Here is a 25,941-nt window from a genome sequence, read left to right as displayed (position 1 = left end):
TTATCAAGTCATTATTACATGCTAACTACTGTGCTGAGCTATTTGTAAACCCCATCATTGTCATCATTTTTATCTCGGACTTTTACTGAGCATTTATTATGTACCATGCTCTCATACTAAGCAATTTAGTCTTCACTGCCTTGTGTGGTACATGCTAATATAGTGCCCATTTTCAAGGCAAAAAATTGAAACTTTGGATTATAAGCTTTTCCAATGTGCCATTACTAGTTAATAACAAAAGTAGGAGATTAAAATAGAACTGTTTATTGAGATTCTCAGAGGTCTTGGAATGGGTTGCAATAGAATTAAAAGGAAGGGGCATGAAAAAAGCAAAATTATTGAGAGAACTGAGAAATTTGCCAGCTCCTTATACCATGCCAGCACTGCCCCTGCTGCCTCTTGTGATGCTTGTTCTCTCTTTTTATCCTCTGGTTTTGCAGCCAGAGGGGATAGACTGTTTGGATTGGCATAATCCTAGGCACATCTAGAAATGGGATTCCCAAATTTCTTACCAAAGAACAAACTCCAGTCAATACCTTTATGGATCAGCTTGGTTAGAATAAGAAACTCACCCACAAAATTAAACTTGGAACTCACAAAGGATTTTCGTCTTCCAAATGTCAGATGTGATAGAGGGTTGTTGGTGAGTCACTCCCTTTTCAAGGAACAGAGGCATAATTCCCAGTGGAATAATGAGCTTCAGCCCTCTGGCGCCCAAGGAACTCACACAATGGGCAGATGTCCGAACTCCACTGGCCATGTCCCAGACGCAAACAATAGAACACTGGCCAACTCCTACTAAAGAGAGTTTCTGAAGCCATGGTACTGCCTTGGCTGGCCAAAAATGCATTACGAGACCACAGTTATCCACAATAGTCTCACTTCATAAAGCAGGAAAGGGTTAGGGAGGGGAAGTAACGTGAGCTTACATTTTCTAATGGAGTTTGAGAAAAAGGGCTCAGAAATTTTGCCTCTTTGCCCTTTTTGGATGATGGATTACTTCAGTTTTATGAAATGCTGGAGCTAAATCCCTTCAGGGTTGGGACTACATGAATATTAATTGGTCCCTAATAAGAAGAGGGAGGCTTTGCTCATTGCCAGTCTGGGACAGTCATCATCATTGGTCTTTTCCAGACTTTGTTTTAAAGGAGATCCTTTTACGGGCAAATCCAGAGACAGACTTGGGAAGAAGATTTCTATTAAGTTTTCTACAGTCACCAGTTATTTTGTTCCTAAAAAATTGCATCATGTTATAGGAATATAAAGACATTGGATGATCTAAGCCGATCCTATTTCATATCCTCTGAAATGGATGCAGACTATAGAATTCAGGATAAGCATTTTTTTACGGTTCCTAGAATTTTGTCTATGTGTGTAGTTATGCTGTACTTTCATATACGTTATCTTCCCTCAAGATAAAGCAGGTATTGTTTTTCCTCTTTTACAGCCAAGATCAGTAATTAAATAACTTGCCATTGATAGATCACAGTGAGTGAGTGGCAGAACTGGGGCTTTAACCAAGGTCTCCTGACTTAAGCCCCGCTTTCCTTCCATTTTCTACACAGGTCCTATCCAGTCCATATAGGCCACTCCTTGTTTCTTCTACTCATTCTATTAATATAGATTGCCCTGGCCATGACAACTTTTCCATACACAGAAATAACATGGAGCATAGACAAATTGCATTTGCATAATTTACCTGCCAAGCAGTGACTTTTGCTATTGGGCAGAAACAATTAGTTTTAGAGGAGTGATTTAACTCTAACTTTTAGGGAGATAAAAAAATTATTTCCTGAGATATATTTACAGGTGAGTGTTCTCCAATGAATAGATCCCTGTCAATCATGCTAAGACAATGAAACTAGGAACTGCAGATGCATTTGGCTGGGTAGGATCAAAACCATAAAAACATTAAAAAAATCATATTAAGTCATTGAAAGTAGGTTTTATTTTTATCAGAGCCACTAAAAGTCTATACATGGTTCCCTTGGGCATAATTCTGAAAGCTAAGAAGACTTCTGCTAAATTAGAGGAAAATAAAACAGAACTCCCCCTCATCTTGCAGAATTTTCAAGCCAAGATTGAGGGTTCTAACCCTGTTGGATTTGGAATGGGGTCTAAACTTGGCAAAAAGGTGCTAGCCCCTCCCTGTTGGAAATCTCTCAAGAGAGTCAGCTCCAGTTTTCCAAAAACTTGCAGCCCAAATATGTCTGGTTCCACATCTGAACTTTGTAGTAGTTGACATCTATTAGAAATTACCAACTCCACTTCAGAAACCTAAAATCAAACTGAACTGCGATGGGCTTATGAAGTGAAACTGATAAGGTTACCATATAACTTAAGCAAACACTGAACCTGCCTTGAAAACCCATGTGAATGCTCAGTCACAGTTTTGGCAACGACTCAGAGATCTTTGGAAATATTAATGAGGAGGAAGCGGAAGGAGATCTCATTTTTCTCTTCTAATCCATTACTTCCACATAGCTACTGTATTCCATGACCTCAGAGGACAGAGGTTCTGAAACTAGCATAACCATGGCCCCTGTGAAGTCAGAGTTCTTTCAAAACAAGGTGATAATTTTTCTTAATCTGAGTTAACTGAGTAGAGCTAGTAACAGAATAAGAAAATTGCTATTTTGACTTCACCAAGGGACTGGCAGCCTGTAAGCTGGAAAAACCCGGATAGGTTTGCTCACAAAGACGGAACAGCACTTACAGATGGGATAAGATATTAATCCAATTTGGAACTCTCTAGTGAACAGAGAGGAAGTGGCCAATTAGAACGGTCTGCTGTGGCCTAAAAGCTGAGAGGACACTTAAAGTGGCTGATCGACTCTGGTTTGGTTGGTTGGTTGCTCTTTTGTTTTTTATTTTTTTATTTATTTTTATTTTTTGAAACAGAGTCTTGCTCTGTCACCCAGGCTGGAATGATGCAGTGGCACAAACTCGGCTCACTGCAACGTCTGCCTCCCAAGCGGTTCTCCTGCCTCAGCCTCCCAAGTAGCTGGGACTACAGGCATGTGCTACCATGCCTGGATGATTTTTGTATTTTTAGTAGAGACGGGGTTTCACCATGTTGGCTAGGCTGGTCTTGAACTCCTGACCTCAGGTGATCTGCCCGCCTTGGCCTCCCAAAGTGTTGGGATTACAGGCATGAGTCACTGTGCCCGGGCTGCTTTTTTATTTCTGTTAAGGATCCTATAATGTAGAAAATCTGCCTAGTCATTTTTTTGTTTCTTGTAAATGTTGAGAATTTGGTAACCTTGCAATTTATTTGTGAATGTTGAGGCTCATAGCAATGCCATCTCGGGAGTAACACATGCTGTATCCATCTGGGGCAACAGGAGTAGCAGGAAAACCCATGGATCTGGCCCAAACAGTCTGCCTCCTAAATGGCAATGTGGCCTTGGGATAAATCACTTAAATCCTCTGAGCTTCAGTTTCTTTAATAGTAAATGGTTATTATATCTTTTTCAAAGTGGTGAAAATCAAATGAAATAATGTATATGCAATCCTCTAGCACAGGGTCTATCATAAGCATAGGTTTTAGAGGTTATTTTATAAGGATATGCAAATTCCATCTCTCCTACTCTCTCATCTCTTCTACCTTCTCAAAGTATTTCTAGGAGAAGAAAACCTAAACTTGTCTCTGGAACATTATTCATAATAATTACGCTAAGTATGGGACTCCTAGGCATGTAAATAGCGTGGCTTTCCATTTTAACATCAAGGGAAAGAAGGTAAGACAGCATGTATGTATCATTCTTCCTTCTTTCTACTTATTTCATTAGAAACTCTGCCTAATGATTTTTTCCCCTTTTTTAAGATAAAGTGTAGATTGCCATGCTTAGAAGTAATGACTCTTCCTTGATTGAGTCAAAAGGTTGGGAGATCTAAAAAGCAGTTTTTGACTGATAATGTTATGATCCATCGAGACACAGATATACTGTATGTGGCACACAAAGTTTTTATAAAAATGACAGAGAATTCCCTCCCTCTCAACTCCCACATCTCCCACACTGCAGAGAGGCTGGCCCTAGCATCTTCTGCAAGTCCTGCTCTCAATAGGACAATAACATGTTTGCTTTTACTTTATCATATTTATATTTTGTAGATATCATGGCAGCAAACTGAGTAATCAGTAGCATTACAACAGTTTCAAACTACTGATGCATTGTAGTTTTAATGTGTAAAATGTAATAGCAAGCAAAAGCATTTCTTATAATACTGCTGCATTTTTTTGGGCCGTTGACAAAAAGGTAATGACAGTATTCATGTCCAGTAGATCAATGGCCATATCAGGGAGAGTAGAGGTTTTTTTTGTTTGTATCCTTATGGGATTCAGTCTTTGAAAGACAGGTTCGGGTACGGTAGCTGGACAATTAGAAGGCAGGATGGGTAGAGGTTTTTGGAGGTTTTGGTATTTGGAGTCTGACAGCCTCTTTTCCCAACCCGGGTTTGTTGTGTATTCATTGTGTGAAATTGGGTGAACCACTTTACCTAAGTCTGTTCTGTCATCTGTAAAAATGGGATTATAACACCTCCTGCTCAGAGTTGTTCCAAAGATTAAATGAGATTATGATAGATAAAACATTCGGTAAAGAGCTTAGCATTGTGTTAAGTGACTGATAGCTATTAGTGGAGCTTGAGAAACACTAGTACAGAGAAGACATTAAGGATTGGAGTGGCCTTGGACTGCAGCAGTGGCTTTCTATGTAATGTCCATGATCCACCTGTGATTTATCTGCTTTTCCCATATGATACTGCAGAGCCTGATGTAAGTGTGCTGTGGTGGGGCCATTGGCTTCCTGTTGCCTTGCCTTTCAGCGTTCTTAACGTAAAGGACCAAGTAGCTCACACATCTGCTAGCCAGGCCATAGCTGTGTATAAAAGGAAGACTGAGCCTGCATCTAGGTGAAATTATTTTAAGTAAGCTGATCCACAAGCGGTAAATGACTATATTAGTCTGTCCTCATGCTGTTAATGAAGACATACCTGAGACTGGGTAATTTATAAAGTAAGAAGGATTAATGGACTCACAGTTCCACATGGCTGGGGAGGCCTCATAATCATGTCTGAAGGTGACTGAGGAGCAAAGTCACATCTTACATAGTGGCAGATGGGAGAGTTTGTGCAGGGGAACTCCCCTTTATAAAACCATCGGATCTTCTGAGACTTATTCACTATCATGAGAACAGTGTAGGAAAGACTCTGCCCCGTGATTCAATTACCTCCCACCCAGGTCCCTCCCATGACACATGGAAATTATGGGAGCTACAATTCAACGTGAGATTTGGGTGGGGACACAGCCAAACCATATCAATGACCTTCTCTCCTTCCCTCTTCCCCTCCTTCCCTGTCCACCTCCTTCCCTGTCCACCTCCTTCCCTGTCCACCTCCTTCCCTGTCCACCTCCTTCCCTGTCCACCTCCCTGCTTTCTTTTCTATTCACTTACATATTTAACAATATATTTGAGTGCTAATTATGAGTTGTCATTTGTTGAGGCTTGATATATAAGAGCAGTAAACTGTATACTGTCCATGCTCTCCCAGAGCTGACATTCTAGTGGTGGTGGTAAGGGGGGGACAGGAAGTGAAGACATATAGAATCAAACAAACATTATGTACATAGAGGTGACAGTAAGTACCAGGGTAAACTATGACACTGGAAGAGGCTGATGGGGGATTAGGCTATGGAAGATATTTCTAATAAAGGAACATTTATGTAGGGACTAGAGGAAGGTGAAGGAGAGAGACATATGATTATCTAGGGGAAGTATTCCATGGAGGGAGCAGCCAGTGCAAAGGCCTCCTGGAAGCTCAGTGAGGAAGCCAGTGTGGTTGGTGTAGAATGTGACAGGGCAGGAGATGAGAGAGGTGGGCAGGACCAAAAGACATAGGGTGTGTGAGGCATTGCAAAGACGCTGGGTTTTACTCTGAGTTGGATGTGATGCCATCAAAGGCTGTTGAGTGGATGAAAGACACAGTAAAATGTAACTTTTGAGAAGGATCTTCTGGAGCCTATTTGGGACATGGAAGTAAACACCAAGTGAGAAAAGAGCAATCATAGGGATTGCTCTGCCTTTTCCATTGAAAAGCTTCTGCCTTTTCCATTGAACCAGTCATGTTTAGTTAAAAAGAAAGCAAAATAAAGTGCTAATATTTCTATCTACAGATGCAGCTTCCAGCTTTTCCTTCATTCTCTTTTTTCCCCCTTCCCTTCTCTGTTCTTCATATCCTTTCTTCCCTATTTCCCCTTCCCTTCTCTATTCTCATTGGTGTATGAATTATTATTCCTGATGGCAAGTGATATGGTTTGGCTTTGTGTCTCCACCCAGAGCTCACCTTGAATTGTAATCATCCCCATGTGTCATGGGAGGGACCCAGTGGGAGGTAATTGAATCACGGAGGTGGGTTTTTCCCTTGCTGTATTCATGATAATGAATAAGTCTCAAGAGAGCTGATGGTTTGGTAAAGGGGAGCTCCCCTGCACATGCTCTCTTGCCTGCCGCCATGTAAGACATGACTTTGCTCTTCATTAGCCTCCTGCCATGATTGTGAGGCCTCCCCAGCCATGCTGAACTGTGATTCAATGAAACCTTTTTCCTTTATAAATTATCCTAATTATAAATAATTAGTCTTGGGTATTTCTTTATTAGCAGCATGAGAACAGACTAATAGAGCAAGTAATTCCATTGTATCATGCATTCATTTTATGTCAATGTGCTACATAAAAAAAGAAACCCATGTCCTTTTCAGTGTTATAATCATATTTGAGATTATGTCATGTCCATGACTCAGTTTCCTCACCAGTCTCTTCTGAGAACCTCCAAGGAAAGCATCAAGAAGAATGTGTACTTCATGATGGTCAGTTTGCCCTGCATCATCTTTCCCTTCCTGTTATACCTTTCTTTGGAAAAGGAGTACCAATTTGAGAAGGTGGTTATCCTTCTTTAGTAGCAGTACAGCTACAGTTAGAAAGTGTTACCTCTGGCACTTCTGATCAATTTATAGGTCATCATTCTAATAATCAGTGATAGTATTTATTGAAAACTTACTATGTGCTAGGTATATTGCTGAATGAACAGTATGCAATGTACTAGCTCCTTTAAGGCTCACTACTACTATCATCCCATTTTGTAGATGTTAAGACCAAGTCTTGAGTTTCAGTAATTTTTGCAATGTCATATACTTATTAATTTGTAAAGGCATGACTCTACCTCCGTCAGTCTGAGTCAGTCTGTATTTTCCACAACCATGCAATATTACTTTCCAGCCATTTAGCTACTCACTCACGTAAATAGTTATTAAATGTGAAAATATTGTGCTAGGACAGGATGTGGAATGTATGTGTAGTTGTATAAATCAAATCTAATATAAAAATGGTATTTCTTAAAAATATTGGTTAATTTTATGTCCACCAAATTTTGAACCATTAAAATGGAGACTTTTTAAATAATGTAAAATTCTGCTCTTTTTTGTTATCATTAAGAGCTGGAGTACAACGTTTTAAAAAAGGATTTGTCTTACACAAAAAATATTTCAAGTACGATTTTTCTCTGATTAGAGACAGGTCCACATTCAATTACTTCATGTTAAGCACCTAGGGTTTATTTATTGTTAAAAGATTATGAATAAGATTCCATTCCTTTCCACCAAAAGAGACAAGTTTTCAGAAGGAATAAGGAATATCTCAATGGTTAAGGCCAGCACACGACAGCTTTTCCTTGCCAATGATGGAGAGCTAAGTCTTCCATTTTCAGTCAGAGCTGAAAGGTTGCTAGGTTCTGCTGGACAAAACCATAAGAAAGATTTTCTTAGTGCATGGGGATATCTATGGTGTATTCTTCTAGGATCTCTTTGCGATTTATCTTTTTATCATCTCAGTGTCACTGGGAGGCATTTGAACATTTTTTCTGTCGCAGTTACATAAGGGGAAAAGAAACCTTAGAGAGTGTAGTGAATCTATTAAGATCCTGAAGGTACTTGACAAGAAGTTGAATGTATTGGGATTCTCCAGAGAAACAGACCAATGGGATGGAGATTATGTATCTATCTTTCTATCTATCTATCTATATCCATCTATATATATCTATATATATATCTCCATACATACATACATATATATGCACATATATATATACACACATATATATATATACACACACATATATATATATATATATATACACACACACATACACACACAGAGAGAAAGAGGAATGGGCTCAAGTGATTATGAAGGCTGACAAGTCAGCTCCAGGAGCTGCAGTCAGCAAGTTGGAGACCTAAGAGAGCCTATGGTGCAGTTACAGTCTGAGTCCAAAGGCCTAAAAACTGGGAGAGCTGATGGTGTAGTTCTAGTCTGAAAGCCAGCAAGCTCGAGACCTAGGAAGAGCTAATGTTTCAGTTGAGTCCAAAGGCAGGAAAAAAAAAATGTTGTTTTAGCTCAAGCAGTCATGCAGGAGGGGGTTCCCCATGATTCAGGGGAAGCTCAGACTTTTTGTTCTCTTTAGGCCTTCAACTGATTGGATAAGGCCCACCCACATGAGGAAGGGCTGTCTGCTCTACTGATTGAAATGTTTACAACTTAAATGTTAAACTTACCCCAAAACAGTTTTACAGAAACACCCAAAATTATGTTCGACTAAGTATCTGAGCACTCCATGGCCCAGTCAAGTTGACATATAAAATTAATCATCACATTGGGTCTCTACCTTCATGTCTTATGCCGTATATATTTTACTTTTCACCCCTCCCCACATACAGTAATATAGTAGCAGCAAAACAAACATAAAAGATAAATAAACAAATTATTTTTCTAAAGGAATATCCTGAATGGCAGAATGAAATCTAAATTGAACATAAGACATTATCTAAATGATTTGTAATATGTTAATATTTATCTGAATCCTGACCACACCTAAGATTTCGACATAGACATTTAAAAAAATGGAAATGGAAATCAAAACAGGGATTGCTTGTACATTTAAATATGTCCTGAATATGAATCAATACCCTGGTAAGTTTCTGATTCATTGCATACCATGAAGTGACCCAGAGGCCTTTCAGCACTCAAAGCGCATTTAGCTTGCTTGCCTTGGCCTGAATAGGAAAACCACAGCTCACTGACTTGCTTGATACACTCTATAAGAAGGCGAAAGCGGGCTGGAAGGGAGGAAACATTCCCGGCAGCACTGACTCCATTTAGAAAGCCTCGGGACAATGAAGGAGCAGTGTGTCCTGGCATCTGACACTGTTAAATACGACCCTACTACTTTACTTTTCATTTCTCACCTTACTCAAATAGGAGGGAAATGAGAGGAAAAGAGAAATTTGGCAGGAATTCCACCTTGGAGACAGAAAATCTTATTGGAATAAAGGTACCACATTGAGGAGCCCTCATTGCAATTGCCTTGGTAACTGGCGAAGTCTTTATTAATTTGCCTACAAACACTTGGAAAAGTTGCATGGGAGGAGAGACTAGCAATGGTTAGTTTGCAAGATAAATGTAAGAGCGGAAACTGACATGAAACAAAAATCAGTGCATGTATCTGAAAGTGAATACAAGAGAGAGTGGAGTGCTCATGGTGATTGAATTCAGTGGCTCTGAACGGCCTCCTAACAGCGTCTTGAGCATGAAGTCCAATCCAGGCATCCGTAGCGTTCTCTCTCGAAGTCTGTCGCATCCTAAAATGCTTTGAGTTTGCAGTAGACCTGAGAATCCTATAGCTTCTGTCGTTCTCCTCATAGTTAAGAACATGGAGATGGATGAAGCTAAATTGAAAACCAAAAGCTTGCTTTCTGGTTGTAGCAGGGATATTTATTTACCAGGATAAGCTTATTGGACTACAAGAAAGAGAATAAAAATGGAGTTTCCGTTCCCTTCCTGAACTCTGATTAGAAGTTGAGCATTTTCAAAGACAATTGTTCCCTGAGATGGGAGCATGCATATATGTAGGTGTGTGACAATAATATGCTTAATAAGTACTAGCTAAAATGAATTCAATCTTTATTAGTCTAGTCACCAACTGAGACTGGAAAACCCAGTATAAAATGGGCTAAGCAGTTCTAGGGATCTTTCTGTGCAGCAGAATACTCTCCTAAGAGGTATAAGCACCCGCCCATAATACTCTGTTCTATCTCAAAACTTTCTCTTCTATTACTACTACCCACATCAATTGTTTTTATTTGAAAACTTATTATATGACACAAGATTTACTTATATACTGTAGGGCATTGCCACAATATAAACTTTGCCTATAAGGAGTTCTTATTCTCTACCTTTTAGGGAAACTGAGAATTATTATTATTATTATTATTTTTTGAGACAGGGTCTCACTCTGTTACCCAGGCTGGAATGCAGTGGCGCGATCATAGCTCACTGCATCCTCGAACTCCTGGGCTCAAGTGATCCTTCCACCTCAGTCTCCTGAGTAGCTGGAACTACAGGTGTGTGCCACCATGCTTACTAATTTTTATTTATTTATTTATTTCATAGAGACTGGGTCTTGCTACATACATTGCTCAGGCTGGTCTCGAACTCCTGGCCTCAAGTGTTCCTCTCACCTCAGCCCTCTAGAGTGCTAGGCTTACAGTTGTGAAACAGAACTTTTAAAATACTGGGGTGATACTTCTGTATAAATGTCAAAATATGGGTTCTTCATGATTTCCTGCAGGAGTAGGAGTTTACTAGAATAAACGTGTGTGTGTGTGGGTGTGGGTGTGTGTGTGCACATGTGCATGAGTGGAAGGTAGAAAGATCTGCTTGGGATGGGAGTTTCTAAGGAGGCACACGGAAGCAGTTCTGGTTAAGGCTGGCAGGAGCAGAAAACCAACTTTGTAATATAAGTTATTTTAAAAGAAGTCAATTCGAAAACCATCTGTGCAAACTGACTTGAGCCATGAAAAGGAAGACAGGCAGCAAATACATGTGTGTGTCGTGATGTTGCGTGGGGTAGAGAGAAAGCCCAGGGATTGGAGGAAATATAGCTGCTTGTTTGTGTTACTTTTATTTCACACTTCAGGGAGAAGGGCTGAGGCTGCTGACAATACTCTCCTTAAATGTCTTTTGGGGTGTTGAGAAAAACAAGACATAGTCTACATTAAAAGAAGACTCACAAAACATTTTTCTAGGTCTTGGTAGTCCCAATTTTAGAATATCGGGGACTAGATAGAGTGAGGCTGTGTGTCTTCCCTGGATTTTATTCATGACTCACACGTGTGACTCAATTTTTTAACTATTGCAAACTGGGGTCTGGCGAGCAGATCTTTTCTTTGTTCAACCCCGATGATGGGTGTATCTGTCTGTAACTGTCAGCCTTACTATTTTAAATGTGTGCTTTGTCACCTTTGAAAAGAGTTTCTTCTTCTGAGTGGCATAATAATATCAACAGCAGTAACAGCTTCTGCCATTAATTGAGCTTTAATTTTGTGCCAGGTGTAGCAATGAGGGGGTTAAGAATTTGGCAGTCAGCAGCTCAGACTCTGTCTTCAGGCTCCTGGATTCAAATCCTGCCTCCATAATTCACTTGTTATGGACCCAATGCTATGTGATTTAGACTGTAGTCTCATCATCTGAAAAATGGGTATGATAATATTACTTTGTAGTCTTATGAGGGAAATGGCTTTATGCTGTGCCCCACACAAGGTGAGCATTTAGTACATTTGAACTATTATATATTTTTTCCATTATTCCCAGTGTTTTATTTAAACTTCACAATAATCTCAAGGGATAGATATTTTTATCCCCATTTGACAGATTACAAAGGAGAGACTTAGAGATGTTGAGTAAGCTATTCCAACATCTAGGAGATGTTGAGTAATATCTCCTAATTGGGGTTTGAATCTGTGTTCATCATTATAGTGGTTTTTTGCCTCTAGGTAGACTGAACTACAGCCTGTTGTGTGATTTGACTTGGAAGTCAGCACACATCTCTTGACAAATCAGCACTGTGGCAAGAAAAATACTATTTCCTTACTCACAGTAATTAATTACTAAAAAGCCGAGCACTTTTCATTATTTTAAATTATTTCACAACAGTTCTGTGAAGCTGACATTCTTATCCCATTTTGGAATACACTAAAAAATAAAACTTTTGGCCAGGCTTGGTGGCTCACGCCTGTAATCCCAGCACTTTGGGAGGCCGAGGCCGGTGGATCATGAGGTCAGGAGATCGAGACCATCCTGGCTAACACGGTGAAACCCCGTCTCTACTAAAAATACAAAAAATTAGCTGGGCATGGTGTTGGGCACCTGTAGTCCCAGCTACTCGGGAGGCTGAGGCAAGAGAATGGTGTGAACCCGGGAGGCGGAGCTTGCAGTGAGCCGAGATTTTGCCACTGCACTCCAGCCTGGGAGACAGAGTGAGACTCCATCTCAAAACAACAACAACAAAAAACCCTTTAAAAATTATAAAATCTTTTAGAACATGTAGTTTCCTTGAGAATGCCTGTCAAGCGCCTGTCTCAGGGGCCTTTGCACCTGCTGCCTGGAATGTTTTCTCTCCAGATACTCACATGGCTGACACTCTTGGCTCTTTCAGATTAGTGTGATCTTCTTTGACTGTTCTATTTAAATTAGAAATGCCATCTTATCTTTATCAGTTCTTAAACCTCTTTGTTGTGTTACTATATTTTTCATAGCACTTACCCCCAAATGACATGCTTTACATCCTATATATTGTACCTATTGTTTATAGATGATCTGTGTTTCTCTGCTAGAAAGTTAGCTCCAGGAACAAAGATATTTTGTCTCCTTTGTTCATGTTGTAATCACTTTACACAGAAGAGGGCAAGGAAAATAGAAGGCACTTGAAACATTTCTTGAATTAATAAATAAGTGGTTATTACTTCACATTTTCTAGCAGTCATAAACTCTAGGACCTAAGTTTAAAATTGCTATGCCTTTTTTTTTTTTTTTTTTGAGATGGAGTCTCACTCTGTCGCCAGGCTGGAGTGCAGTGGCGTGATCTTGGCTCACTGCAACCTCCGCCTCCTGGGTTCAAGCAATTCTCCTGCCTCAGCCTCCTGAATAGCTGGGACTACAGGTGCACACCACCAAGCCCAGCTAATTTTTGTATTTTTAGTAGAGACCGGGTTTCACCATCTCGGCCAGGATGGTCTTGATCTCTTGACCTCATGATCTGTCCGCCTCGGCCTCCCAAAGTGCTGGAATTACAGGTGTGAGCCACCGTGCCTGGGCTGCTGCTATGCCAATGTTTTTACCTATTATATGACTACCCCCCACACTTAATCTTTTAGATTATTTGACAGTAGTCTTCATCTAGTCCCTTTTTAATCATTTCCACAATGCATTTTATTTTTTTCCTCACAAAAGGGTGTTGTTGAGGGTTAGGGACAGTGCACAAATAAATAACATTGTTTGGATATTTGTCCCTGGCCAAATCTCAAGTAGAATTGTAATCCCCAGTGCTGGAGGTGGGGCCTGGTGGGGGGGGTGTTTTGATCATGGGATCAGATCTCTCATGGCTTGATGCTGTCTTCATGATAATGAGTTCTCACGAGATCTGGTCATTTAAAAGTGTGTGGCACCTCCCCGCTCCTCAGTTTCTCTCACTTGCACCTGCTTTCAGCATGTGATGTGCCTATTCCCCCTTTGCCTTTCACCATGATTGTCAACTTCCTGAGGCCTCCTTAGAAGCCAAGCATGCTTAGATCCCGGGGCCATGCTTCCTGTAAATCCTGCAGAACTGTGAGCTAATTAAACCTCTTTTCTTATAAATGACCGAGTCTCGGGTATTTCTTTATAGCAATGCGAGAACAGCCTAAGAGAGTAAACCAAGTGATCATTTGAAGTAGGTCATTAAATATTTGTCATCCACACAAACCCAGGTACTTCCTATTCTGTTTCTCCACAGTGCCACATTCAAATAAACATCAATCTGAAACTGACATTCATGGAAAAGACATTTAATCTTTATTGATATCTATTTAAAATGGATATGTTTCATTCACTTACTACATAGTCCACGATTTTCTAAAATCTCCCACTCTCACTCCTTGGAGATATTTGACTCACCAACAAAAACCTCTCTCACATCTCCAAAAAACAAATTCTCCTTAAAGCTCTTCTATTTTTTTTTTCCTCCTCTGCCTCCCTCTGACCATCCAGATGGAGTCTGTTTTTCTTTACCAGTGATTCTCTTCTGTCCCCACTGTGAATTCACCCAGCAGATCTCAATTATCTCCTTGTTCATTACCATGATGATTCTTCACAACAGAGGGTCAAGACCTCTGGGAGACTCAGAATTTGTAAGAGGAAGCAAGGGAGTGAAAGTGATAGTTATCAGAATTATTTTTTTCTTCTGCCGTATATACTGAAGATAATTAAATTTCCTGAGCATTGTCTCTTTTTTCATTTAGAAGAATGCAGTAATTTGTTAGGTCTCACCCAAAGCTTGTGTCCACCAGTTGTGTGAATGGACTTCCAAAGAAAAAGACTTGGAGGGCAGGTGGTAAGAAGGTTTGAAAGTGGGAAGATGGAAAGGAGATTATTTGTTTGCTTTATAACATTCTCCCGTCCTAGAAAACTTCAAATGGTTTATGTGAGCTCAGACTAATCTAAACATTTTCAACTGTCAATCATAGCATGTTTGTTGATCTAAGATGGACAGATAGTAAGATAATTATTAGAGACAAAAGTTCTACCCTCATCTCTGTTATCTTGGCATTAATTTCCGGGTTTTGTTTTCCAACCTGGCTAAATAAAACTGAGAAAATAAATGCACTCCGATCATTTTAGCTCTTTAAAGGGCATATGTGTGTTTAATGTTTTCTATTTTTTTTTAATGGCGAGGAATCATGGCTTTTTTTTTTTTTTTTTACTTATTCCCTGAAGCAGCCTCTTTCTCTCTCCCATCTCACTGTTGGTTTTTAAGTCTATGTTTTCTAGTTAGCAGTCTCTGTCTCTGAAGTTGTCTTTGTGTGGCTGTTGCTTTTTTAAAAAGAGGGGACGGCAATTAGTTAGGAAAGTCAAAGATACAATCTCTGAATATGTTTTGAATCCTGGGATGGTCTGGGATGGAATGAAGCCCCCATCTCACGATGTTCCCTGACTGTGCCTGCCGGGCCAGAGCACCATGTTGGTGTCCCAGTAAAGATACTGGAAGCTTTCCTCATTCCCCTTGCTGATTTACCCAAAAGAGGACCACATCTTCCCATTTCTTGCCTTACTGGCGGAGATATGGGGGCCCTCCCGGATCCTATTCTTGGCAGTTTCCTCTCTGGACCAATACTGTTTAGGCTCATGGCTAGGGCGCTTGTGTACTTAACCTCTGAAACTATGTTCTAAAGTTCTAAGCTTGTCCAGCCCACCTTATTTTGTTGTTATCGTTGTTGTTCTGTTTTGTTTTGTTTTAGGCTTTCAGCAGCCTGAAGCCCATGTTCCTTACTTTCTGTCTCTAGTGATAAGTGAAAAAGAGGGATCAGGAAGGGGCTTTACTGACCCAAACAGAAACAGAGAACCCATGACTGTATTGTCTTCCACGGATACCCCTGTTTAAATGAAAAGCTCCCCGCTCCCAAAAGAAAAAACTAAGAACCACATTTTGGGGAAGAAGGAGAAACCACCTTGAGGGATGATGTAAAGGCTCCTTTTGAGGTGGTGTAGCACTCTGGTTTTCTTTTCTTTTTTTTTTTTTTTTTTTGAGATGAAGTCTTGTTCTGTCACCCAGGCTGGAGTACAGTGGCATGATCTTGGCTCACTGCAACCCCTGCCTCCCAGGTTCAAGCCACCATTCTTCTGCCTCAGCCTCCCGAGTAGCTGGGATTACCGGTACCCGCTACCACGCCTGGCTAATCCCTTTTGTCTTTTTAGTAGACACGTGGTTGCACTATGTTGGCCAGGCCCGTCTTGAACCCCTGGCCTCAGGTGATCCGCTTGCCTCAGCCTCCCAAATTGCTGGGATTACAGGCATGAGCCACTGTGCCTGGCCGTTTTTCCATTTTTAACCCAAATTCTGCCCAAGTCACAGACACAAAAGGCTTGGCATTGTCCAGTAAGAGATGCCAGTGCTGTATGGCAAGTGCTAGACTTCAAATTAGAACTGATGGATCCTCATTCCAGATATATTACCCTCTGACCACATGACCTCAGAGAAATCATTTCATCTTTCTCTACATTGATGCAATGGGACTAGATGATCCAATGATTCAATTTATGACTCACTCTATGAAATGTGAATTATATGTCATTTTCCTTGTTCTACCATGGAGGGCCTGCTTTCTCAGGAGAACACTATACACTCAGGAAGAGAAAGTCGACTATAAAAATGACTTCAGGTTTTATTCTAAAACATTCTCTCTCCGTAAAGTTTTAAGAATGTGACTGGATGCAATGCTGACCTAGACAAGGCTCTCCAGGGAAGCACTTCAGCTTGGGAGTTAAGAGAAGGTATCTGGTCTCAGTTCTGGTTCCTTCACTAGTAGTCATGTGATGAAAAGCCAGCACTTTCATCTGTGACCATCTGTTTCCTCAGCTATCTATCTCATAAAAACATTTCAGGGACTAAGTTGGTAAAATAAAGAACTTACAACAGCCTGATTTATAATAAGCTCTCAATAAATAGTATTTGTTATTTTCTGATTACTGAAAGTCTTCATGAAGACTGACAAAAGGCTAAGAGAAGGAGCAACAGGGGAATGTGCATGTAGTTTTGATTCATTCAATATATAATGAGTACTTTCCATGTGTTTTGTCTTCTGAGAGCAGTCAGAGATGCAGAGAGTACCATATGGCTTTCAGCTTCAAGGAATCAGGCAGGGAGAGAGAACAACAGGTAAAGAGCTATAGCACATAGTGACAGACGGGATAGCAGAGATATTCCCAATGGACCAGAGTGCAAATGAATGAAAAATGATTAGACACATCAACTCCCACTCCCACCTCCCAGACAGCAAGGTGACATTAACACAAAAACCCAAACTTTACCAATGGCCAGAGACACTAATACGATTTGGCTGTGTCTTCACCCAAATCTCATCTTAAATTGTAGGTCCCATAATTCCCACGTGTTGTGGGAGGGACCTGTTGGGATATAATTGAATCATGGGGACAGTTTCTCCCATACTGTTCTTGGGGTAGTGAATAAGTCTCACAAAATCCGATGGTTTTATAAGGGGTTTCCGCTTTAACTTGACTCTCATTCTCTCTTGCCTGCCACCATGTAAGACATGCCTTTCGCTTTCCACTATGATTATGAGGCATCACTAGCCACATGGAACTGTGAGTATATTAAACCTCTTTTTATATATATATATATTTTAAATATATATTTACATTTTATATATTTTAATAAATATATTTATATATTTTAATATATTTATATATTTTAATATATTTATATATTTTAATAAATATATATTAATAAATATATCTATATAGATTAATAAATATATCTATATAGATTAATAAATATATCTATATAGATTAATAAATATATTTATAGATTAATAAATATATATAGATTAATAAATATATATATAGATTAATAAATATATTTATAGATTAATAAATATATTTATATAGATTAATAAATATATTTATAGATTAATAAATATATTTATATAGATTAATAAATATATTTATATGGATTAATAAATATATTTACATATTAATATATTATATATTTATATTTATATATTTTAATAAATATATTATATATTTTAATATATAAATATTTATACATACATATATATTTATATATTTATATATACATATTTTTAAATATATATATTTATATATTTATATATATATATATAAATATATATATATATATACACACACAGACAAATTATCCAGTCCCAGGTAATCTTTATGAGCAGCATGAAAACAAACTAATACAGGCACTATGCACAGCTATGGCATTTTAAACAGCTGATTCTTTACGTCTGAAGTTAGTATTATAGGGGATTTTTCTGGAGGGCTTGAGGAAAATATGTAATGTAGTGACCTAGTATGAACTATTCAGAATTCACCACTTATTCATGTTTTACTGTTTCTCTAAAGCAAGGGTTTGTTGTTGTTGTTATTGTTGTTGTTTGGAGACAGTCTGGCTCTGTTGCTCAGGCTGGAGTGCAGCGGTGTGATCTAGGCTCACTGTAACCTCCGCTTCCCAGGTTCAAGTGATTCTCCTGTCTCAGCCTCCCTAGTAGCTGTGATTACAGGCACATGCCAACATGCGTAGCTAATTTTTGTATTTTTTGTATAGACGGGGTTTCACTATATTGGCCAGGCTGGTCTCAGACTCCTGACCTCAAATGATCTGCCCTCCTCAGCCTCCCAAAATGCTGGGATTATAGGCGCGAGCTACCACACCTCGCCCACAAGGGTTCTTAATTAAGAGTACACACCTAGACAACCCACTGTGGTTTTGGGAAAAAAAACATCCACACAGTTTATTCTCAATTCTGAAGATTCTCTTTCAGCAGGTCTTAGAGTTGGGCCCAGTCATCTATACTTTTGAAAAAGCTCCACTGGTAACTGTGGTGTGTTCCCTGAGTAAGGATCATTCTTTTAGGTCAGCCTTCCTGAAATATGGTAACTTTTAATTGGGCATCACAAATGTGTACAGTGACTGTGTACTCAAATCTCCTTTGAAGGAATACTTCCTTACCGATGACTTCTTCTAAACGGACAGCCTGTAGAAAGACATGTTTTATTATATCCTATCTTATATCCTTAGCAGAATTGAGAGTACCTGTAGCCAATATAATCTCAGTACATGAATTTCCCAATTCATGATACGATGCATTTGTAATGTATCAGCTAGGCTGAACTACATTTCCCAGAATGGCCTTTCTTTTAGAGTAACCTGCTTTAGCAAATAAAAATGCAGAACACCTAGTTAAACTTGGATTTCAAATAAACGGCAAATACATTTTTAGTATAAACATGTCTCATGCAATATTGGGAACATACTTTACTTTATTTTATTTTATTTTTTTGAGACAGAGTCTCACTCTGTCACCCAGACTGTAGTGCAGTGGCATGATCTTGGCTTACTGCAAACTCCACCTCCCAGGTTCAAGCGATTCTCCTGCCTCAGCCTCCCGGATAGCTGGGATTACAGGCACAGCCACCATGCCCAGCTAATTTTTGTATTTTTAGTAGAGACGGGGTTTCAACATTTGGCCAGGCTGGTCTCGAACTTCTGACCTCAGGTAATCTGCCCACCTTGGCCTCCCAAAGTGCTGGGATTATAGACGTGAGCCACTGTGCCTGGCAGGAACATACTTACACTAAAGCAATTTGTTGTTTATCTGAAATTCAGATTTAACTGGTTGTCCTATATTTTATCTGGCAATCCTACTTTCTTGTATGTCTTTAGTTATAGTTAAAGTTTACCCCAAGGGAGGGTTTTGGGTGATTTGGAGGGATGAAGTAGCAGTTACTTTGCAGTTCAGATACAAGCATACCTTAGAGATATTGGGAGTTTGTTCCAGACCACTGCAATAAAGCTGGTATTGCAAAAAACAAGTCACACAAATGCACTTTTTTGGTTTCCCAGTGCATGTAAAAATTATATTTATAGTATAGTGTAGTCTATTAAGTGTGAAATAACATGTCTAAATATGCAATGTACATACATTAGTTCAAAAATACTTTCTTGACAAAAGTGCTAATGATTATCTGGACCTTGAGTGAGTCACCATCTTTTTGCTGGTGGAGGGTCTTGCGTCAATGTTGATCACTGCTGACTGATCAGGGTGGTGCTTGCTGAAGATTGGGGTGGCTGTGCTAATTTCTTTTCTTTCTTTTTTTTTTTTTTTTTGTTTGAGACAGTGTCTTGCACACTGTTCGCCGGGGCTGGAGTGCAGTGGTGCGATCTCGGCTCACTGCAACCTCTGTCTCCCGGGTTCAAGCAATTCTTCTGCCTCAGCCTCTCGAGTAGCTGGGATTACAGGCACACAGCACCATGCCCAGATGATTTTTGTATTTTTAGTAGAGATGGGGTTTTACCATGTTGGCCAGGCTGGTCTTGAACTCTGACCTCGTGATTCACCAGCCTCGCCTCCCAAAGTGCTGCGATTACAGACATGAGCCACCTTGCCTGACCCTGCAATTTCTTAAAATATGACAACCGTAAAAGTTGTTTTATCAGTGGACTCTTCTTTCACAAAAGATTTCTCCATAGCATGTGATGCTGTTTGATAGCATTTTATCCACAGTAGGAATGCTTCAAAATTGGAGTCAATCCTCTCAAATCCTGCTGCTGCTTTATCAACAAAGTTATATAATATTCTAAATCCTCTGTTATTTCAACAATGTTCACAGCATGTTCATCAAGAGTAGATTATGTCTGAAGAAATCACTTTTTTTCTGCTCATCCATAAGTAGCAATTCCTCACTTGTTAAAGTTTGATCATGAGATTTCAGTAATTCAGTCACATCTTCAGGTCCACTTCTAATTTTAGTTCTGTTGCTATTGCCACCACATCTGCAGTTACCCTCCCTGAGGTTTTAAACCCCAGAAAGTCTTCCTTGAGGGTTGAAATTAACTTCTTTCAAATTTCTGTTAATGTTGATATTTTGACCTTCTTCCTTGAATCATGATTTTTTTTTTCTGTTTTTGTTTTGTTTTGTTTTTTTGTTTTATTTTTTGAGATGGAGTCTCGCTCTGTCACCCAGGCCGGACTGCAATGGCGCTATCTCAGCTCACTGCAAGCTCTGCCTCCTGGGTTCACGCCATTCACCTGCCTCAGCCTCCCGAGTAGCTGGGACTAAAGGCACCTGCCACCGCGCCCGGCTAATTTTTTTTGGTATTTTTAGTACAGACCGGGTTTCACCATGTTAGCCAGGATGGTCTCGATCTCCTGACCTCGTGATCTGCCTGCCTCGGCCTCCCAAAGTGACCATGAATGTTCTTAATGGCATCTTAATGGAAAGAATGGTGATTTCTTTCCAGGTTTTTGCTTTACTTTGCCAAGATCTATCAGAAGAATCACTAACTATGGCAGCTATAGCCTTATTTTTTAAATAATAAGACTTGAAAGTCAAAAATTACTCCTTGTTCTGTGAGCCTCCAGAATGGATGTTGTGTTAGAAGGCATGAAAACACATTCATATTGTGCATATCTGTCAGAGCTCTTGAGTGTTCAGGTGCATGGTCAATAAGCAGTAATTTTTAAAAATAATCTGTTTTTGAGCAATAGGTCTCAACAGTGGGCTTAAAATATTCCGTAAGCCATGCTGTAAACAGATGTACTGTCATCCAGGCTTTGTTTTTCCTATAAAACACAGGAACTTCAGCACAACTTTTAAGAGCCCTAGAATTTTCAGAATAGTAAAGGAGTATTCTCTTCAACCTAAAGTTACTAGCTGTATTTAGCCCCTAACAAGAGAGTCAGCTTGCCCTTTGAAGCTTTAAGGCCAGGCATTGATTTCTCTCTAGCTGTGGAAGTCCTAGATGACATCATCTTCCAACATAAGGCTGTTTCATCTACATTCAACATCTGTTGCTTAGTGTAGCCACTTCATCAATGATCATAACTAGATTTTCTGGACAACTTCTGCAACTTCTTTGTCAGCACATGCTGCTTCACCTTGCACTTTAATGTTATGGAGATGTCCTGTTTCCTTAAACCTGATGAACCAACCTCTGCTAGCTTCACACTTGTCTTCTGCAGCTTCCTCGTGTCTCTCAGCTTTCATAGAATTGAAGAGAGTTGGAGATTTGCTATGGATTAGGCTTTGGCTTAAGGGAAATGTTTTGGCTGGTTTGATCTTCCAGCCAGACCATCAAACTTTCTCCATGTTGGCAATAGGCTGTTACGCTTTCTTTTCATTTGTGTGTTCACTGGAGTAGCACTTTTAATTTCCATGAGGACTTTCCTTTTGCATTCACAACTTGGCTCTTTGACACAAGAAGCCTAGCTTTTAACTTATCTCAGCTTTTAATGTGCCTTCTTCTCTAAGCTTGATAGTTGCTAGCCTTTGATTTCCCATTTGTCCTGAGAAAAGAGCACTGGCAACGAGCTGTACTTTTTTTTTTTTTTTTTCTAAATAGGAAATAGGTTAAAGTGAGTGATGTGTGGCCCTTCCTTTCACTCAGATACTTAGAGGCCATTGTAGGGTTGTTAACTGACCTGGTATCAATACTGTTGTATTTCAGGGAGTAGAGAGGCCTGAGAAGAGGGAGAGAGATGGGGGAACCGCTGGTCATTGGAACAGTCAGAACACACACAACATTAATCATTTAAGTTTGCCATCTTATACGGGAGTGGTTGTGGTGCCTCTAAACATAACAAGAACAATATCCCAGATCACTGATCCCAGATCACCATAACAGATATAATAATGATGAAAAAGTTTAAGCTATTGTGAAGATTACCAAAATGTGATGCATGGACACGAAGTGAGCACATGCTATTGGAAAAATGATGCCAACAGATGTGCTTGATGTGGAGTTGCCACAAACCTTCCATTTGTACAGAAAATACAATATCTGCAAAGCTCTGTAGAATGCAGTGTGCCTGTATGTGGTTGCTGATCTGCTGACCTGCCCCATGGGTATGAAACAGCAGCCACACCTGCAATGACTCTACCTTCCCATGGATCCTCCTTTCATTGTCCTACTCCTAGGCTAAGCCTGTGCATTCAGCTTTGTAATGAAGAGACCTGGCTTCTAGAGGATAACCTCATCACTAAGGTCAGAGGCAACAAGAACTGGCCTGAGTTTCAGTCCCCTTTCGTGAGGTTCCAGTTCATGCTTGTGAGTTTTTACTTAACTTTGATCTCCCCCAACGTATACCCACAATCTCCTTCCCAACTGCCTGCCCAACCTCAAGCTCCAGCCCAGGACCAAGAGATAAGAACCTTACAGGGACTGCTTTACCAGCTCTGACAGTTGTGGAAAGCCAGTTTTCTGTAACAAATCAAAAATTCTCATCAGGACCTCAGGAAGAAGTCCAGGCCAAGGATTCTCCTAAGTGTTCTTAGCTATTGCCTACTTCTATTTTACATAACTGGCTTCGTGGTCCAGGAATGCTTCTTTTTCTCGACAATCACCAAACTGAAGTGCTACGAGGAAGACTGTTACCCTGAGGTCTAATGCATGTGTCTCTGAGAATAAGACAATTTTTCTTAGAGAAATGGAGCAATCACACATGGAGCCCACTGAAGTTCAACCTTCTCTTGTATAATCACATGCACTTGCCAGCCCATGTAGTCAAGCCTGTCTACCCTTGTGATTTTCTACAGATAAATGAGTAGGTCATTCTCTTCTTTACCGTGTTTATCTACAAGGGTACCATCATGATAGAAAAGATGAAAGTGGGACACAAATATGGAAGCATCCATTCACACTGCTCACCCATAAGAGATGGTGGTAAGTCCTCAAGGCAGTTTCTTTTTTTAACACATGAACATATGGTCCCTGTATCATCTCAGGTCATGTCACCCCTGTGGGGTATTGAATCCCTGCTGTTTGTTTATGCCTTATAACATTTATATGTTCAGCTTCAGTGTGTGAATTGTGTTCAGGAAAATGCATGCTTTAACACTAGAGGCATAGATGCAGCATGCTAAGAGGACACTCTGCTTTCAAACATGTGCACTCCTTTGACTATGGAGCTCTCTATAAGAAGCTACTGACTTGCTCCTTCCATTGTACAGAGGATCTCCAATCCTTCCCTCCAGCTGAAAGCTGCTGTATGTGCTATTAGTCCCTTGCTCTCCTCCAATGGCCAACTTCACATTTGCAACAGTCTTCTTTCACATAGTATTTTAAATGTCTCCTGTAGTCTGGGCCAACTCTGTATAATAACACTTGAAGGAAAAAAGATGTATAGAAAAGAAGAAAATAAAACCCACAGAGCTACCTTAAATTCCCAAGAAATCAGAAAATGTCCGTTTTCCATATAAATAGCTATAAAACCCCAGGAGCCACAATTACCCTGCAGACCTGTATGTCATTTGCTGGACCACAATATTTTTCACTCTTACTGAACCCTCTTTCTTAAAGATAAATTTTTCTGTTGATAAAGACATGAGTTATTTATCCAAAGTCTTTTTCAGAAAAACACTTTATCTTCAGGAGTTAGAGAAAATCCTAGGTAATTCTACCGTAACATACCTTTTACTCCACCGCCCGCTCACCAGCCCTGATAGAGATTGGCATCAACTTACATTTAACTCTACTGAATTTGGGAAATCATTCCTACCCAAGAAGCGAGTTTGCAAGTTTTCAGCTTTCCTTGTTCAGTTATCTAGCTGCCAGTTTGGCTTCCCTTTTAGCATTCTTTTTGATTCTGATCTTAGAACTTCAACCTTGAGTTGGGAAAGGAATCCTTTATTTAAATTTCCAGAGTCAAGTAGCACAAATATATCTTCTTGGCAAGACTGGATGTCTCTGCTTTGATTAACTCACCATTTATACTTCTTAATTAATAGGAGGGTTTTTTTTGTTTTTGTTTTTGTTTTTTTAAAAAAAAAGCCAATGTGGGCAACTAAAAGCATTGTATTCTGTTTAATTTGTTTATGCAAGGAGGAAGCTTTGAAGTAACTCTGAAAGGTGAATCCTATTGCTTTAATATGACAGAAGATTTTGTAATTTGCATTTTCTTCCTACCTAACTGGCTGTAAGAGCAAAAGAAGCAAAACAAAATCATACCCTGGAAGTGACAGCAATAAATTAAGGGTAAAGAAATGCAATAAACTGATAGAAACTACTTTTGAAGTACAGCAAAAAGATCATTTCAAGTTTCAACTACATTGGCTTGCCAGGGATTACCATTCGTGCATCTGTGTAGTTTCACTTTGACATAAGGCAGTGTCTGTGGCCACAGTCTTCATGCAGTAAGGAACTGGGAGAATGAAGGTGAGAAGAGGTCCTGATACACTGGAACTTGACCTCAGACTTTGTGGAAAAGGAAGCAAAGGAAACCCAAAAGAGTAGGCACAAAGATGAAGAGGGAGCTGGGGAGAAAGACAAGGACTCCTCGACAGCCCTCTGCTTCACATCTGTTCGCTGCCAGCAGACAGGCGGAGGGCACCCTTGGCCACCCAGAGCTATGCATGCCCCTTTCTCTTCTTACCAATGTGAGTAGAGATGAATGTCTGCGTGGAGGTGTGCCCGGTCCAATCACTGCCTAAATTATAATTGAGAAAGTTCAACTGCAAGTTTATATTTTTTTCAAGCTGGCTTTGTCTGTATCATCAAAATCAGTCTGGGTCATCCCTGCCTCCTGGGGGAGCTCCTTGGCCCTAAGAACTCATTGCACAGAAGGACACTTGATGTGATGATCACTTGTACTTCTTGACTTCATTCTTCCAAGGAAGATGCTTATGTGATCATCACATTGACAGAATCTAATTTGCTTCAATCTTGATTTAAAACATGTTATCATGTTCCATAGATGACACACATTTGTTTTTTTAATGAATATGTCAATGTAATCTCAAACTATTGTCTAAGAAATGGTCACTCACCCTTGCCGTGAAATAAGGGTTAAAGGAAAGCCTTGGGGGTTCTTAAAATGACACTAATATGGTATTTTAGCAGGGCTCATAGATATACCAGAACTGTCTTAAACCACAGCCACCAATCACCACCACTTTTCAAATATATGGATACATATGAAGAACATTAGCAAGAGTACTACTTTGCTATTGGCCGAGAGCTTTGTCTGAATTCCAGTTCATGGTATCTGCTAAGGTGGATTGTAGAATATGGTCTAAGAGACTTTTCATGTTGTTAAGCTCAAACTTGAATCCCTTCACTACAGAACATCTGATGGGATGAAAGAGAATGTAGGCTGCACTAGTGTCAAGTGGACAGCTAAGACATACTGGTAGCACTTCGACATCATTGGTGCAAGAGAAAGCCCTCAGAGAGACAATTACATCCAGATGTGTGACCATTTACACCACAGTGGCTAGATAACTAGAATTTCAGGCTCAATTAAGGCCTTGGAATCTAA

At 39.8% G+C, this 25,941-nt stretch overlaps 1 annotated feature.

Moving 5' to 3' along the window:
• Positions 473–1,192: an enhancer, noted in NCBI's record as "enh5". NCBI's record gives the evidence for it as "EXISTENCE:reporter gene assay evidence [ECO:0000049][PMID:21408189]".

Source organism: Homo sapiens, chromosome 17 (genome assembly GCF_000001405.40).
Source record: "Homo sapiens chromosome 17, GRCh38.p14 Primary Assembly".
NCBI classification, from domain to species: Eukaryota; Metazoa; Chordata; class Mammalia; order Primates; family Hominidae; genus Homo; species Homo sapiens.
Note: the sequence above shows the minus strand (reverse complement) of the source record. Positions and strands in the feature narration are given on the sequence as shown.